Below are 19336 nucleotides of genomic sequence, written 5' to 3' on the forward strand. Positions count from 1 at the left end.
GCTGAAACTGGATCCCTTCCTTACACCTTATACAAAAATCAATTCAAGATGGATTAAAGACTTAAACTTTAGACCTAAAACCATAAAAACCCTAGAAGAAAACCTAGGCATTACCATTCAGGACATAGGCATGGGCAAGGACTTCATGTCCAAAACACCAAAAGCAATGGCAACAAAAGCCAAAATTGACAAATGGGATCTAATTAAACTAAAGAGCTTCTGCACAGCAAAAGAAACTACCATCAGAGTGAACAGGCAACCTACAAAATGGGAGAAAATTTTCGCAACCTACTCATCTGACAAAGGGCTAATATCCAGAATCTACAATGAACTCAAACAAATTTACAAGAAAAAAACAAACAACCCCATCAAAAAGTGGGCGAAGGATATGAACAGACACTTCTCAAAAGAAGACATTTATGCAGCCAAAAACACATGAAAAAATGCTCATCATCACTGGCCATCAGAGAAATGCAAATCAAAACCACAATGAGATACCATCTCATACCAGTTAGAATGGCAATCATTAAAAAGTCAGGAAACAACAGGTGCTGGAGAGGATGTGGAGAAATAGGAACACTTTTACACTGTTGGTGGGACTGTCAACTAGTTCAAGTATTGTGGAAGTCAGTGTGGCGATTCCTCAGGGATCTAGAACTAGAAATACCATTTGACCCAGCCATCCCATTACTGGGTATATACCCAAAAGACTATAAATCATGCTGCTATAAAGACACATGCACACATATGTTTATTGCAGCATTATTCACAATAGCAAAGACTTGGAAGCAACCCAAATGTCCAACAATGATAGACTAGATTAAGAAAATGTGGCACATATACCCCATGGAATACTATGCAGCCATAAAAAAGGATGAGTTCATGTCCTTTTTAGGGACATGGATGAAATTGGAAGTCATCATTCTCAGTAAACTATCGCAAGAACAAAAAACCAAACACCGCATATTCTCACTCATAGGTGGGAATTGAACAATGAGATCACATGGACACAGGAAGGGGAATATCACACTCTGGGGACTGTGGTGGGGTGGGGGGAGCGGGGAGGGATAGCATTGGGAGATATACCTAATGCTAGAGACGAGTTAGTAGTTGCAGTGCACCAGCATGGCACATGTATACATATGTAACTAACCTGCACAATGTGCACATGTACACTAAAACTTAAAGTATAATAAAAAAAATCCAAAAAAAAAAAGTAAACGTTAATACCCTTATACTTCTCCATCAGAGCTCTTGGATAACTAGACACTTTCTCAATGAGCAGTAGTATTTTGAAAGAAATCTTATTTATGAGCAGTAGGTCTCAACAATGGACTTAAAATATTCAGGAAACCATGACAAATATTCAATAAACAGATGTGCTGTCATCCAGGCTTTGTTGCTCCATTTCTATAGCAAAGGCAGAGTAGATTTAACACTATCTTTTAGAGCTCTAAGATTTTCAATATGACAAATGAGCATTGGATTCAACTTAAAGTCACCGGCTCCATTGGCCCTCAACAAGAGTGTCAGGTTGTCTTTGAAGCCAATAGCCAGTCATTGACATCTCTCTCTACATATCCCAGATGGCATCTTCTTCCAATATAAGGTTGTTTTGTCGGCATTGAAAAATCTGTGTTTTAGTTTAGCCATTTTTATCAATAATCTCAGCTAGATATTCTGGATAACTTGCTTCAGCTTCTTTATCAGCACTTGCTGCTTCACCTTGCACTTCCATGTTATGGTGATGGCTTCTTTCCTTAACCTCACAAGCCAAACTCTGCTACCTTCAGACTTTTTTTATGCAGCTTTCTCACCTATCTCAGGCTTCATAAAATTGAAGAGCATTAGGATCTTATGGATTAGGCTTTGGTTTAAGGGAAGGTTGTGGCTGGATTGATCTTCAGTGCAGACCACAAATAGTTTCTCTGTTTTGGAATTAGGGCTGTTTTGTTTTCTTGTCATTCATGGAGTAATACTTTTAATGCTTTCTTCATGCTTTCCTTGCTAATTTTAATAATTTCTGATTTTTTATTTAAAATGAGAAACATGTAACTCTTTCACTTGAACATTTAGAGACGATTGTAGTGTTATTAATTTTAATATTGGCCTAACTGAAATTCAATATTGGTCTAATTTCAATTGTTGTATTACAGGCAATAGAAGGCCAAGGAGAAAGAGAGAGCCAGGGAAACAGGCTGCTCAGTGGAACAGTCAGAATACAAACATCATTTATCTATTAGTTTTGTTGTCTTACACGGGCTTTGTTTGTGGCAACCCAAAACAATTACAATAGTAACATCAAAGATCACTGATCACAAATCACCATAACAGATATAATAATAATGAAAAAGTTTGAAATACTGTGAGAATTACTGAAACGTGGCAGAAAGATACAATGTGAGCACAAGCTGGAAAAATGGTGCCAATTGACTTGTTCACTATAGGGTTGCCACAAACCTTCAATTTGTAAAGAATGCAGTATCTGCAAAGTGCAATAAAGCAAGACATGATAAAATGAGAGAGTTATGCCTGTAATGGCCTTTTGTGTGTATTAAAAGCTGAAGAATTTATTTAAATATTCAAAAATAAATAAATAAATATTCAAAAAACTAAGTACAAATGTCTACTTCTAATGTATGACTATAGCAAATCTTCCTTAGAACTATAAATGTAATTTTCTCCAGGACTGCTTCAAGTTCACTTAGTTTTCAGCCTGATTGAATTCTTCATTCTCAGAGAAGCTAAGTGCTAGTGTCTTCTTAGTATAAGATAATAGGATTTCTCCCTAAAATCTCTGCATTTGCTATGGATCTCATAACAAAACACCAGAAACTGAATGTCTTAAACAATAGAAATGTATTGCCTCATCTATGGGTTCTAGAAGTCTGAGATCAAGATGTAGTCAGGATTACTTCCTTCTAAGAGCTGTGAGGAGAAATCTGCTCCATGCATTTTTCCTAACTTCTGGTGGTTTGCTGGCAAACTTTAATATGCCTTGGCATGTGCATACATTACCTCACTCCCTGCTTCCATCTTCACATGGCATTTTCCCTGTATGTTTATCTGTGTCCAAATTGTCCCTTATTATAAGGACACACTCACACTGGATTAGAGCCTAACTTAATGACCCCATCTAGCTTTATTATCTGCAAATATTCTATTTTTGAATAAGGTCACATTCAAGGTACTTGGGGCTAGGACTTCAACGTCTTTTAGAGGGAACACAATTCAACCCAGAAACTTTCCTTACGTTTTAAGACTAGCAATTTCCAGAGATTTCAGTTTCCCTTGTGTCAGAGGTTTCTATCATATTTTTGAGCCTCAGCACCCCCAAAGTGTGGTCACTAATAGGATTCTTATTTGATAGACATATTGATAATGATTAATAGTTGGTAAATAGGTGCTTCAGAAAATCAAGGGAAACTCACCTCAACTCAGAGTAAAAATATACTTATTAGCAATTCTCCAAAGGATCCAAACTGATCATGCACTCAGCAAAATTACCTTCTTAAGAAGAAAGCCCTTAGAGTGACCAAAATTGGAAATGAGGAAAACAATTGCAAAGTATTAGTTCAAGAAAATTAATCTGAACTCCTTTGATAACAAATGGCAGAAACCCAATTTACATTGGCTTATATGGAGAGGGGAAGAGGCGGCAGTGATGATATTTATTGGCTTATGTAAGTTAAAGATTCAAGACTTGAGAATAGCTGGATCTAGCAGCTGAGTAGTTCTCATTACACCTCTCTCCCATTTCTTTTCCCTGCAATTCTCTGTGATGGGTATACTGAGGGTTTCTCAATCTCAGCACTGCCAACACTTTGGGATAGCTGATTTCCTATTGTGATGAGTTGTTTGGTATAGGATGCCCAGCAGCACCTCTGACTTCTACCCACCAGATACCAGTGGCACCCTCTCCCAAACTGTAACAACCCAAAATGCCTTCAACACTGCCAAACATCCCACAGGGGGCAAAACTTCCTGTTATCTCTATATAGTGGCCTCTGAAAACCATTCAACTTGTAGTAAAACAATTGATTTATAATTCCTACATCAAGAGAAGGGTTTCTTTTCCAATGGTCTAATAACAATCCTAGGCCTAATGTCCATAATCCAATGTTTAATATATTTAATCATAATTAAAATAATTTTACATTGATAATATTTATATAGATGGGCATAAGACAGGGACCCAGGATGCTGTGATAGTCTACACAAATATAATATACCTGTTTTCCATGCTGGATGGAGACTTTATGCTAATTTCCATAGACTTCTATCAATTTATGTGAAGGATTCTTTTTATATTAGTTGTTAAATTTCTTCTTAGAATTTTGACCTTTACCTAAATTATTGGTATTTATAACATTTGCAACCTTCAGGAGTGTTATCTACTTTATACAAATTTTGGTCTGCAATACCAGTTCTACTCTCATATCACTGACCCAAACTTAGTCACATGTAACACCTAGGAATAAGCAACACTGGAAAAGTAAGTTCTATCTGAATCACATGTGCCAGAAAAAAAAAAAAAAAAAACTCTTGCGGAGTTCTATTAGTAAAAAGAAGATGGGAAAATGGATATCAGAGGAAAATTAATAGCTTCTATCATGACCTGGTACTAACTAAAGAGCAATTGGAGGAGGAAAATGTAAACTTAGAACTCATGAGGAAAAGAAAACGGAAAGTATATTAAGAATATATTTATTTGCTAAATGTTTTATACCGAGCCATACAAAAATTGTTATTGATATCATTTTATATGTAGGAAAGCTAAGAGTCAAAGAAATTAAATATCTTTCCCAAAGACACAGTGTCATAAATAGCAAAGTATGGTTTCAAATCCCAGATTGTCAAAATTGATGCTCTTCATTAACCTACAACATATAGTGGCAGTTCCTCTACTTGGCATGTGTCAGAGTGGACTCACAGGTCAAATGTAAAATGAGGGAAGTTGTTGACATCCAGTTAAAGACATGAAAATTCAAGTCCTACAATTTTTTAAATCTGCATTTTCTTACCCAACAGAATTATATAAAAATGTAACTTTAAAAGATTTGGTGTTGAATCTAAATATCTAATCCATTTTTTCCACTTTACAATAGAGAAAACTCAGACCAACCATCATGGTTAAAAGCTTTGTCTATCACCTTTTGTGGTCTTTTCCATATACGATGTGTCAGAGAGTCACTTAGTCCTGAAGTTCCTGCTGTCATGGAGCTGACAGTGCAATGGAGGAAAGAAAGCTATAGCAACCCAGTACAACACTATTTGAAAAGTCTTCTAAGCTTGCAGCGATGGGCCAGGTATAATCAGTGCCCAGAGGAGGAAGTCAGATGAGGAGTTACTGTGTAGAGATTAAAACCCAGATCTTCTCCACTACAAGACTTGAAACCCAGTGTGTGGGAATATTCAGAAGAGATGTAAGGAGGATAAGTTTGCTTGCACCCTAATCTAAGGATGGGTATAATTCTTGACTAGCCAACTATCTGGAAAGTAGTTTTTATTGTTCTTCAAAAATATAATTTACATTTTAGAGCTCAGGAGCCAAATGCTTACTATAAACTGGTGCAAAACTGATTTATTAAAAGGCAGAATTCAGGGACATTTGCTCTCTACAGACCCAAAATTACAATTTCTGTTTTATGTTCTCCATAAATTATATGCAGTATTCTAGTGTTAAGATCTGAAACTGGAATAAAACCAACCAGAATTTACTTCCCAGTTCTACCTTTATTAGAAATAGTTACTCTTTGGCAAATTACTCAACATCCTCACACCTGGCATTTCACAAGTAAAGTAGGGTTAACAGTCCCTGCCTCACCTGTTGCTGAGAGCATGAAATTAGATACGCCACAGGTGAAGTACTCAACACACTGCCAGACGCTAGGTAAGCACTCAACAAAGGTTGCTTGTAACTTGTACAAGTTTTTCTTATGTTTTTTCTAGTTTTCATTCATTTTTTTGAGCAATTCTATTATCCCACTATGCATGAATGAAAGGGGAGGTTGAATTTCTAAGTTCTCAATCATTATACAAGTCCCTTTGAGCACTGTCTAGCTAGCCTCATGTTCCTGATCACAAGACAGTCTAACAATCTATCTAGATCAGGTGAGCTAGCATCTGGATGCATTCATACATTTATCCATTCAACAAATCCATAAATAATTATTGAGCATTAACCAGAAAGAGATCTTGGTGCATGAAATACATCAATAAATAAAACAGACAACAGAAAAGTAAACAAGTATATAATTAAAGAAGATAATTTCTTGGATACTGACAAGGGTAATGAATAGAGTGCTCTGTAAGAGCAAAATGAGGGAGATATTCTTTAGAAATGAAGAAAAGCTGGTATGCGGAGGTGACATTTGAAATGAGACTGGTCAGGGCAATCTAGGCCATTTTAAAAAAAATCAAAAGAAAGCATTCCACACAAAGGAACAGCAAGCACAAAGGCTCTGAGACAGGAACAAGGTTGATACATTTGAAAGGAAAAAAATAGCATTGTGAGGCCTTCCAGTTTCTGGCCAGGCATGTAAGGAGCTTGGAAGTCATCACTCCATCCTAACAAATAAAATGCTGAACGGACTAAAAACTCAACAACTCTTAGCTGTCAGAGAAATGAGGTCACGGTGCAACCCATTACCTCCAAAACTGGGAAGACAGAGAGGTGAATATAGAGAATCACAACTTACCAGAGCAGAAACCTCCAAGAGAACAAGTGCTGGGGTAGGAAAATCTAAACTATAATTTATGTATTGCTGGAGGCTCAGTATGGACGACTCTGAGTGGGTACAAACTCCAGAGGAATACAGTCAAGAAAGGAGAAAGGAAGTCTCGCTTTTGCAAATTCTCCCACCTGGAGCTCTACCACATTCTCATTGGAAGTATCACAAAAAATCCCCTTGCACTTCCTGGGAGAGGGGAGAAGGACCAATTTTCAAATAAACCAGATCATTCTGTTCTCCTTAACAAGGTCTTCCCTCAGATGAAACTATTTAACCAGAGCTGCACCTGCTGGATTTTATCAAGGTCTAACTGATCTGGGAAAAAGCAAATATCCAGCTCCAGTTCCCTTTAGACTTCTCCATGGGAGAAGGGACATACTCAACTCCAGTCCCCCACCGCCAGCCATCCTGTCCCATTTGTAAAATTCACAGTTCAGAGGGTCACCAGCTAACTAAAAGACTGAAACCTAATCCCAGAACTATAGAATGCACCCCTGGCTCCCCTGGCTCCCCTCACACCTTACCACTATGATAAAAAGGATCATTTACGGCAGTTCTTTTTACCCAGTATATTATGCCAGTCTACCAAGGAAACATTCACAAAGCATACAAAAAAAAAGCAAAAACAAAAGCATGGGTTGAAAAGAGAGCAAGTACTAGAACTAAGGGCTCTAATTGATGGATAAAGTAGACAGCGTGCACCAACAGGTGGGCAATGTAAGCAAAGAGATGGAAATCAAAGAAAGAACCAAAAAGAAACGTTAAAGCTCAAATGAAGAATGTCTTTGATGGGCTCATTAGTAGACTCAACATGGCTAACAAAAGAATCTCTGAGCTTGAGAATATTTCAACAGAAACCTCAGACACAAAAAAGCAAAGAGAAAAAAGACTGAAAACAAAAAACCTATCCAAGAACTGTGGGACAACTGTACAAGTTGTAAATAAATGTAATAAGGATACTAGGAGAACAAAAAGAGAAAGGACAGAAGAAATATTTGAGGTAATAATGACTGAGAATTTCTCCAAATTAATGTCAGACACCATACCACAGATCCAGAAAGCTCAGAGAACACTAAGCAGGATAAATGCCAGAAAAAAAAATACATCTAAGCATATTATCTTCAAATTGAAGAACACTAAAAAGAAAATCTTGAATGAGGCCAGAAGAAAAAACACCTTACCTATAGAAAAGCAAAAATAAAAATTACATCTGACTTCTCTTCAGAAACTGTACAAATAAATAAAGTGGAGTGAAATATTTAAAGTGTTGAGACAAAAAAAAACCTAAAATTTTGTACTCTGAAAAATTATATCCTTAAAACATAAAGGAGAAATACAGACATTCTTGAATAAATACAAATTGATAAAATTTGTTGCCAGTAAACCTGTTTTGCAAGAAATGTTAAAATAAATTGTGTAGAGAGAAGGAAAATGATATAGGTCAGAAACTTGGATACACATAAAGGAGGGAAGAGAATCCAAGAAGGAATAAGTAAAGGCAAAATATAAACTTATTTTTCTTATTCTTAATTGATCTAACAGATAACAGTTTATTCAAAATAATAATAGTACGATTTTTAAAAAATGACATAGGGATACGATGTAGGACGGACTTGTGGCTCCCACTCAGACAGAGCAGTGTGAAAACACATACTGTGAACTTTTGCTCCAAGAACTACTACAGGAACATATCAGGAAAGCTGAGAAAATCCACAGGCCCTTTGAAGGAGGTGGATGGCCACTGCAGCCTCCATGGGACACCCAAGGAACTGTGAGTCTGCTTGCTTTCTAAGCTGGGAGGGTTGCAGCCTGTGCGGCAGGTTCTCAGCCCTGCTCACCAACTGCCTCGAAATAAAATCCATGCTGTTGTGGGGTCACAGTGGGAGTGAGGCCAACCTTTCAGGCTATAGGCTCTGTGAAAGCTGGGTGAGACTGTGGCTGTTGGTTTTCCCCCAATTCCCTGGCATCCTATGTAATACTACAGAGGCAGTCATAATCACCCTGGGAACATAAATCCATTGGCCTGGGAACCACACCCCATCCCCTACAGCAGCTGCAGAAAGCTGCACCCAAGGAGAGTCTGAGCTCAAACACACCTAACCCTGCCCCCACCTGATGGTCTTTCTCTACCCACCCTGGTTGCCAAAGACAAAGTAGATAATCTCTTAAGAGCTCTATGGCCCTGCCCACTGCCTGAGAAACCTGAATACTTACACAATGGCAACCCTAGGGAAATCTTGTATCCTCCCTGTGCTACCACAGCTGATGCACTCTTGAAAGTGCCACCTCCTGGCTGGAGGCCAACAAATACAAAAAAAGCACACTTAACAAAAATACAACCAAGGATGCTCACAGAATCCACTTCATTCCCATGCTATCTCCACCAGAGCAGGTACTGGTATCCACAGCTGAGAGACCTGAAAATGGATCACATCACATGCCTCTTTGTAGATGCTCTCCAGTACCAGCCCAGAGCCTGGTAGCTTTGCTGGGTGGCTAGACCTAGAAGAGAAATGAGTCACTGCAGTTCAGCTCTCAGGAAGCCTCATCCCTAGGGAGTGGGGAGAGCATCACATCAATGGATCACCCCGTGGGACAAAAGAATCTAAACAGTAGCCCTTGAGCTCCAGATCTTTCCAATGAAACAGCCTACCCAAATGAGAAGGAAACACAAAATTATTCTGCTTATATGACAAAACAAGGTTCTTTAACACCCCCAAAAGATCACACTAACTTACCAGTAATGGATCCAAACCAAGATGAATTCTCTGAACTGCCAGAAAAAGAATTCAGAAGGTCAATTATTAAGCTAATCAAGGAGACACCAGAGAAAGGTGAAGTTCAACTTAAAGAATCAAAAAAAATGATACAGGATATGAAAGGAAAATATCTCCAGAGAAATAGATAGCATAGATAAAAAACAATCGCAACTTCTGTAGATGAAAGATACATTTAGAGAAATGCAAAATACACTGGAAAGTCTCAGCAATAGAATCAAACAAGTAGAAGAAAGTACTTCGGGGCTCAAAAACAAGGCTTTCAAATTAACCCAATCTGACAAAGACAAAGAAAAACAATTTTTTTTAATGAACACAGCCTCCAAAAAATTTGAGATTATGTTAAACAACCAGATCCAAGAATAACTGGTGTTCCTGAGGTAAAAGAGAAATCTAAAGTTTGGAAAACATATTTGAGGGAATAATCAAGGAAAACTTGCCCAACCTTCCTAGAGATCTAGACATCCAAATACAAGAAGCTCAAAGAACACCTAGGAAATTCATTGCAAAAAGATTATTGCCTACGCACATAGTTATCAGATTATCTAAAGTCAAGACAAAGGAAAAAATCTTAAAAGCAGTGAGTCAAAAGCATCAGGTGACCTAAAAAGGAACATCTATCAGATTAACAGCAGATCTCTCAGCAGAAACCCTACAAACTAGAAGGTATTGGGGTCTTATTTTCAGCCTCCTTAAACAAAACAATTATCAGCCAGTATTTTTGTATTCAGTAAAACTAAGCTTCATAAAGGAAAGATACAGTCTTTTCCAGAAAACAAATGTCAAGAGACCTTGCCACAACCAAGTCAGCACTGTAAGAGCTACTAAAAGGAGCTCTAAACCTTAAAACAAATTCTCAAAATACATCAAAATAGAATCTCTTTAAAGCATAGATCTCACAAGACCTATAAAACAACACAGTAAAAAAAAGAACATGCACACAAGTTACTCAGGCAACAAACAGCACAACAAATAGAATAGTACCTCACATCTCAATATGAACATTGAATGTAAATGACCTAAATGCTCCACTTATAAGAAACAAAATGGCAGAACAGATAAGAATTCACCAACCAAGTGTCTGCTGTCTTCAAGAGACTCACCTAACACATAAAGACCCCCATCAACTTAAGGTAAAAGAGTGAAAAAAGATATTCCATGCAAATGGACACCAAAAGTGAGCAGAAATAGTTATTCTTATATCAGACCAAACAAACTTTAAAGCAACTTTAAAGCAGTTAAAAAACACAAAGAGGGACATTATATAATGTCCTATATTTGGAAGCAAAAGGCCAATATCTACTATCATAAAAATACATGAAATTCAACACATCAAAAAGCCTATCCAACATGATCAAGTGGGCTTCATCCCTGGAATGCAAGGCTGGTTCAACATACGAAAATCAATAAATGTGATCCAGCATATAAACAGAACCAAAGACAAAAACCACATGATTATCTCAATAGATGCAGAAAAGGCCTTTGACAAAATTCAACAACACTTCATGCTAAAAACTCTCAATAAATTAGGTATTGATGGGACGTATCTCAAAATAATAAAAGCTATCTATGACAAACCCACAGCCAATATCACACTGAATGGACAAAAACTGGAAGCATTCCCTTTGAAAACTGGCACAAGACAGTGATGCCCTCTCTCACCACTCCTATTCAACATACTGTTGGAAGTTCTGGCCAGGGCAATCAGGCAGGAGAAGGGAATAAAGGGCATTCCATTAGGAAATGAGGAAGTCAAATTGTCTCTGTTTGCAGATGACATGATTGTATATCTAGAAAACCCCATTGTCTCAGCACAAAATCTTCTTAAGCTGATAAGGAAATTCAGCAAAGTCTCAGGATACAAAATCAATATGCAAAAATCACAAGCATTCTTATACAACAATAACAGACAAACAGAGAGCCACATCATGAGTGAACTCCCATTCACAACTGCTTCAAAGAGAATAAAATACCTAGGAATCCAGCTTACAAGGGATGTGAAGGACCTCTTCAAGGAGAACTACAAACCACTGCTCAAGGAAATAAAAGAGGATACAAACAGATGGAAGAACATTCCATGCTCATGGGTAGGAAAAATCAATATCGTGAAAATGGCCATACTGCCCAAGGTAATTTATAGATTCAATGCCATCCCCATCAAGCTACCAATGACTTTCTTCATAGAATTGGAAAAAACTACTTTCAAGTTCATATGGAACCAAAAAAGAGCCCACATTGCCATGTCAATCCTAAGCCAAAAGAACAAAGCTGGAGGCATCATGCTACCTGACTTCAAACTATACTACGAGGCTACAGTAACCAAAACAGCACAGTACTGGTAACAAAACAGAGATATACACCAATGGAACAGAACAGAGCCCTCAGAAATAATGCCACATATCTACAACTATCTGTTCTTTGACAAACCTGACAAAAACAAGCAATGGGGAAAGGATTCCCTATTTAATAAATGGTGCTGGGAAAACTGGCTAGCCGTATGTAGAAAGCTGAAACTGGATCCCCTCCTTACACCTTATACAAAAATTAATTCAAGATGGATTAAAGACTTACATGTTAGACCTAAAACCATAAAAACCCTAGAAGAAACCCTAGGCAATACCATTCAGGACATAGGCATGGGCAAGGACTTCATGTCTAAAACACGAAAAGCAATGGCAACAAAAGCCAAAATTGACAAATGGGATCTAATTAAACTAGAGAACTTCTGCGCAGCAAAAGAAACTATCATCAGAGTGAACAGGCTACCTACAGAATGGGAAACAATTTTGCAATCTACCTATCTGACAAAGGTCTAATATCCAGAAGCTAAAGGAACTTAAACAAATTTACGAGAAAAAAAAAAAACATCAAAAAGGGGCAAAGGATATGAACAGACAGTTCTCCTAAGAAGATATTTATGTGGCCAACAAACATATGAAAAGAAGCTCAACGTCACTGATCATTGGATAAATGCAAATCAAAACCACAATGAGATACCATCTCATGCCAGTCAGAATGGCGATTATTAAAAAGTCAGGAATTGATAGATGCTGGAGAAATAGAAATGCTTTCATACTTTTGGTGGGAATGTAAATTAGTTCAATCATTGTGGAAGACAATGTGGCAATTCCTCAAGGATCTAGAACCAGAAATACCATTTGACCCAGCAATTCCATTACTGGATATACACCCAAAGGAATATAAATCATTCTACTATAAAGACACATGCACACATATGTTTATTGCAGCACTGTTTACAATAGCAAAGACAATGGAACCAACTCAAATGCCCATCAATGATAAACAGATAAAGAAAATGTGGTACATATACACCATGGAATACTATGCAGCCATAAAAAGGAATGAGATCTTGTCCTTTGCAGGGACATAGATGAAGCTGGAAGCCATCATCCTCAGCAAACTAACACAGGAACAGAAAACCAAATATCACATGTTCTCACTCATAAGTGGGAGTGGAATGATGAGAACACATGGACACAGGGAGGGGAACAACACACAGCGGGGCCAGTCTAGGGGGTGGGAAGCAAGGGGAGGCAGAGCATAGGACAAATAGCTAATGCATGTGGGGCTGAAAACCTAGATGATGGGTTGATAAGTGCAGCAAATCACCATAGCACACGTATACCTATGTAACAAACCTGCACGTTCTGCACTTGTATCCTGGAACTTATTTTTTTTAAAGTAGGCTATTAATAGTTAAGTTATAGATGAATAAAAAGTTATACACAGATTTTCATTTGTGCCCCTAACCTCCATGTCATTCAAGGGTCAATTGTGCTAATTTCAGAAAGAGCAAATTGCACAGCAATGCAAGTTACAAGGAACAAAGAGGATTATTATATAAGGATAAAGGAGTCAATTCTCCAAGAAGACATATCCTTAACATGTATCTACCCCTAACAAAAAAGCATTAAAATGAATCAAAGACCTTAACAGACACCTCACCAAAGAAGGTATACAGATGGATACGCATATGAAGAGATGCTCGACATCATATGTCATCAAGAAAATGCAAATTAAAATAATGAGATACCGCTACATATCCATTAGAATGGCCAAAATCCAAAGCACTGACAACACCGTATGCTAGTGAGGATGTGGAGCAACAGAAACTACTTCATTGATGGTGGGACTGAGAAACGGTATAGCCGCTTTGGAAAACAGTTTACAAAACTAAACATACTGTTTTCAACTCCATTGGGAGCATAATTATAGTTTATTACAGGTAGTATAATTCAGCAGTTGCACACCTTGTTATTTACCCAATGGAGTTGAAAGCTTATGTCCACACGTAATGTGCACATAAATGTTTACAGAAGCTTTATTCATAATCACCAAATTTTAGAATCAAACAAGATGTTCTTCAGCAGGTAAATGGATAAACTGTGTACATCCAGACAATGGAATATTATGCAGTGCTAAAAGAAATGAGCTGTCAAGCCATAAAAGGACAAGAAGGAAAATTAAATGCATGTTACTAAATGAAAAAAGGCCATCTGAAAAGTCTATATACTGTATGATTGCAACTATATGACATTCTGAAAAAGGCAAAACTATGGAGACAGTAAAAGATTAGTGGTTGTCAGGAATTGGGGAAGGGGAGGGACAAAGAGAGCACAAAATATTTTTAGTACAGTAAAATTACTCTGTATGATAATACTATGGTAGATACTTGTCATTATGCGTGTGTCCAAAGCCATAGAATGTACAACACTAGGAGTGAATCCTAGTATAAACTGTGGTGATTGGGTGACAATGATAGGTTAATGTGGATTCATCAATTGTAATAAATGTACCTGTGATTGGGGGATGTTGATAATGGGGGAGATTATGCATGCATGGGGGCAGAAAGTATATGGGAAATCTGTACATCTTCCACTCAATTTTGCTGTAAACCTAAAACTACTCTTTAAAAAAGTATATTTTTAAAGTACCATTGTGAGCCAAAATAATCATGGAGATGAGATTTAAAAATTCAGTAGGATTCAGATTATGCAGGGACATGTAGAATATGGTAAAAAAAAAAAAATTAGTTTGATTCTAAATGTATTTGGAAGTCTTTAGAAGGATTTATTTGTAAAATACCTGGATGTTCTAGTGTTCTGTATTGCTATAATGTCTGCGATTTTGTTTTAGGGGGTCCAGGTCTAAGGGAAGTTTAAGTCCTCTGCTACATTTTCTTATCACTTTTATGGTGATTTAGCACTTATCATTAGCCATAGCATTTAGTTAGACTAAAAGGTTTTCCTTGCGCAATTATGATTGGAATAAAACTGAGGAGAAGGATAACTTCCGAGTAGAAATCGGAAGGTATTTTCTAATTATTTCAGAACCCTCCTTAGCCAAAGGCATGAATGCCTAACAAAAGAAATCTATGATTTACCTCAACAGATCTGTGTGTGTGTCTCTCTTTCACCCCCTTCTATCCCCCTCTCTATCTCATTTCTATATCTCCATAAATAAAAAGTTAATGAAGTAGAAAAGATGCAAAAATAATTTTCACAATATTTATACTTTAAAACAATTATCCCGTGTAGCATGATTATATTCCAATTCTGAATAACAGCAAAGCATTAAAATATCTTGAACCTTCACAAATGTTTCTCCAACTGAGAACACTCTCTTGACCTCTAGAACCAAATTTCCATCTCTCTTTTGCACATCTCCAAATATTATGTCTCACCCTCAGACATCTCAAACTCTATATGCCAAAAATTATTTTTTCCACCAAACTTACTTTTTCTCTTGTCTTCCTAATCCCATTTGATTAAACAAATTCTGGGATACCTCCAATATTTACACATAATCTTATGTGTAAGGAGGAAGAGTCAGTGAAAATCATGGAGAACGAAGGGCCAGTGGAAGAGGTGGAAAAGCAGAAGGAAGCAGTATAATCACAGCACCCTGCTTAGCGCTACAGGGAGCAACACTTACATAGTCATGATCCTGGAAGGCTTACTTTTTCTAGCATTCAAAATCAGCTTCTAGAATGTTTGACTATGGTTACAAGACAATATATAGCTTATTAATCTTGAAAGTATAAATGCCAATTTATAGCAGGTAGACAGTGGAAGATGGACAGGAAAGAAAGGGAGAAAAGACTGAAAATGCTAAAAGCTGCATTTATAAAGTGGGAAGAAATGAAACAGCACTGAGTTAGAAAAAGCAAACTATTCAAAGTATGGATGTAATGAGAAGAATCTGATCAAGAAAAATTCAAAGCCCTTCCAGTGGGGAGTGGGACATAGAAAGGGGAGAAATAAAACAAGGACCTGTTCCTTCTCATTTTAAATCTTTCCATACTGTTTGATTTGAAAAAAAAAAAATCATGTAAAGTCTTTACTTTGATGTAAGTAAAAATTGTAATTTAAACAGTGATTCCAGAGCCTTGGTCAGAGGTGTACAGGGGGGAGAAGAGTAAACTTAAATTAAATTTACAAGGCTGGATAGTCTGACCCAGAAATTCCTCTTCTAGTAATATTCCCTAAAGAAAAAGATTCAGAAATGAGGACAAAGATTTATGTACAAGGATGTTTGCTACAGTATTAATTATAACAGTAAAAAGTTGGAAACTACCTATGTTATAAATATGTGAAAATGATTTAAATAAATCATAATTTATCCATAAATAGAATATTAACCAGCCACTAAATCATTTTTGAGATTGAGATATCTGATAATGTTCATATCACATTTTTGTGCTAAATGAAAATAAAGGATTAAAAAACTGTGTGAGTTGTGTTACATACACACACAAAATTAGATACCCAGCAAATACATGGTCTGAGAACAAGAACATGTGTAGACAAAACTGAATGTTTACTATGAACAAATGCTCCTTAAAGAAATTTTTTAAATTATACTTCTAAAAGAAAGAAAATAGCAGCATGTTTTATAATCCTTTGGGTATATACCCAGTAATGGGATGGCTGGGTCAAATGGTATTTCTAGTTCTAGATCCCTGAGGAATCGCCACACTGACTTCCACAATGGTTGAACTAGTTTACGGTCCCACCAACAGTGTAAAAGTGTTCCTATTTCTCCACATCCTCTCCAGCACCTGTTGTTTCCTGACTTTTTAATGATTGCCATTCTAACTGGTGTGAGATGGTATCTCGTTGTGGTTTTGATTTGCATTTCTCTGATGGCCAGTGGATGATGAGCATTTTTTCATGTGTCTGTTGGCTGCATAAATGTCTTCTTTTGAGAAGTGTCTGTTCATGTCCTTCGCCCACTTGTTGATGGGGTTGTTTGTTTTTTTCTTGTAAATTTGTTTAAGTTCTTTGTAGATTCTGGATATTAGCCCTTTGTCAGATGAGTAGATTGCAAAAATTTTCTCCCATTTTGTAGGTTGCCTGTTCACTCTGATGGTAGTTTCTTTTGCTGTGCAGAAGCTCTTTAATTAGATCCTATTTGTCAATTTTGGCTTTTGCTGCCATTGCTTTTGGTGTTTTAGACATGAAGTCCTTGCCCATGCCTATGTCCTGAATGGTATTGCCTAGGTTTTCTTCTAGGGTTTTTATGGTTTTAGGTCTAACATTTAAGTCTTTAATCCATCTTGAATTAATTTTTGTATAAGGTGTAAGGAAGAGATCCAGTTTCAGCTTTCTACATATGGCTAGCCAGTTTTCCCAGCACCATTTATTAAATAGGGAATCTTTCCCCATTGCATGTTTTTGTCAGGTTTGTCAAAGATCAGATAGCACACGTAGGTTTATTGCGGCACTATTCACAATAGCAAAGACTTGGAAACAACCCAAATGTCCAACAATGATAGACTGGATTAAGAAAATGTGGCACATATACACCATGGAATACTATGCAGCCATAAAAAAGGATGAGTTCGTGTCCTTTGTAGGGACATGGATGAAGCTGGAAACCATCATTCTCAGCAAACTATCGCAAGGACAAAAAACCAAACACCGCATGTTCTCACTCATAGGTGGGAATTGAACAATGAGAACACATGGACACAGGAAGGTGAACATCACACACCGGGGCCTGTTGTGGGGTGGGCGGAGGAGGGAGGGATAGCATTAGGAGATATACCTAATGTTAAATGATGAGTTAATGGGTGCAGCACACCAACATGGCACATGTATACATATATAACAAACCTGCACTTTGTGCACATGTACCCTAAAACTTAAAGTATAATAAAAAAATAAAAATGAAAATAAATAAAATAAAAATAATTAAACAAAAGAAAGAAAATAATTGTTACAGAAAGGAGGTCAAAGAAGAATAAGGAATGATAAACAAGAAAGTGAAAAACATGGAAAAATCTAAATGGATATTTATCCTGGACTTTGAAATATATATAATTAAAATCCTAGGGGTAAAAGAAAATATAATTTGGAAGAGAGAGATGAGTTCAAATGTTCTAAATTCTTTTGAGAAGAAGGCAAAAATATTTAGACATTTTAACATGTACATACTAAAATTTCTAAGCTAATTGCTGAAACGATGTAGAGTTTATAGTTCCCAAAGTGGTACAGAAGCAAAAGTGGGATGAGGGAGGAAGAACAATTTAATTGGGAAAAAGGCAAGGAAGAACTTGCTGCCCATTATAGGAATTCTACACACCTTAGTTATGAAAATAAAATGCTGCCACATGCCCTCTGCTATTCCAGGATCCTAGCAACTCCATTTGTTCCTAAAGACCCCACTACTAGAATAGCATCTCTGCCATATGAACCACTCCCAAGCCTTTCAGCAATCTGTTGACCCTCTTATCACCTTGGAAAATAGAGTAACCATTGGAGCCTCCCAGTGAACACTGTCAGCTAATGGGCCCAACTGAGAGCATGCCCATTGCCTTGAGCCTTTTTTGATTGCTTTCTCCACAATTATTCATGACAGTTTTGTCATCTCCATTTCATTTATGAGAATTGGCTCTTCTTCAAAATACTCAAGAACCATCTCAGCAACATATTAAAGCAATAAACTTGGATCCAGACCAGAGTGTTGAATCCTATCACAGAACAAAGCTCTTGTATTATCATTCTCTCTTAGCCAACTTTATATTCTGCTGCCATCTAACACTCTCAAGGTTAACTCCTCCTTCTTGCCACCTTATATTAACCAGGTACTATAGGATTTTGGGGGTGTATAATCTCTCTCCCTTCGCAGTCCCAGCACTCCCCTAGTTAGCTTATGCTAAGACTTGATATGATCTATAGTCTGGTGGCCAGAGGGGAAGTGAAGTCAGTTTCTGAAATAGGGAGGAGAGGAATTGTCTTACAAAGTATTGGCCTCATTTAAGGAATTTCCATAGTCTTCAATCAAGGAGAGGGCCTGTATTTTCCACAGGGATGTGTGGGCTATTTCTGCAGGTCCAAAGGATTTGGGAAATTTAGAGATTCCCAGTTTCCAAGTGCCTCTATTCAGACATCCTAAGTGTCAGCAGGTCCCACTTCTTCCTTATTAGGATGCTGGTTTTGGCATAAGAGCTTGCCCTGAAGTTCTGTCACTTTACAAATTTACACCTTTTGGAAGAAAATATAAATAATCTCTCATTTTGGAGTGGGCATGGATTCTTAAATAACACAAAAATACCCAGTGCACCCCTGCTTTATTCACTCCTGCTATATGGCAGAGACACTCTTGACAGCAATAACTTAAGCATACCCCTGAGAATGAGCCCGTGATCTAAGAATAATATGTGTTCAGATTTTGAGATAAGGAATCTGGGAGTGACCAATCCAGAAATTCATTCCTTATTTATAAGGAACATCTGAACTTGTGGTCCATCTTGTGGAATGCAGGCCATACAGGGAATCAAGGTTATTGTTTTGGATTAAA

Source organism: Homo sapiens, chromosome 11, assembly GCF_000001405.40.
Source record: "Homo sapiens chromosome 11, GRCh38.p14 Primary Assembly".
In the NCBI taxonomy this organism is placed as follows: Eukaryota; Metazoa; Chordata; class Mammalia; order Primates; family Hominidae; genus Homo; species Homo sapiens.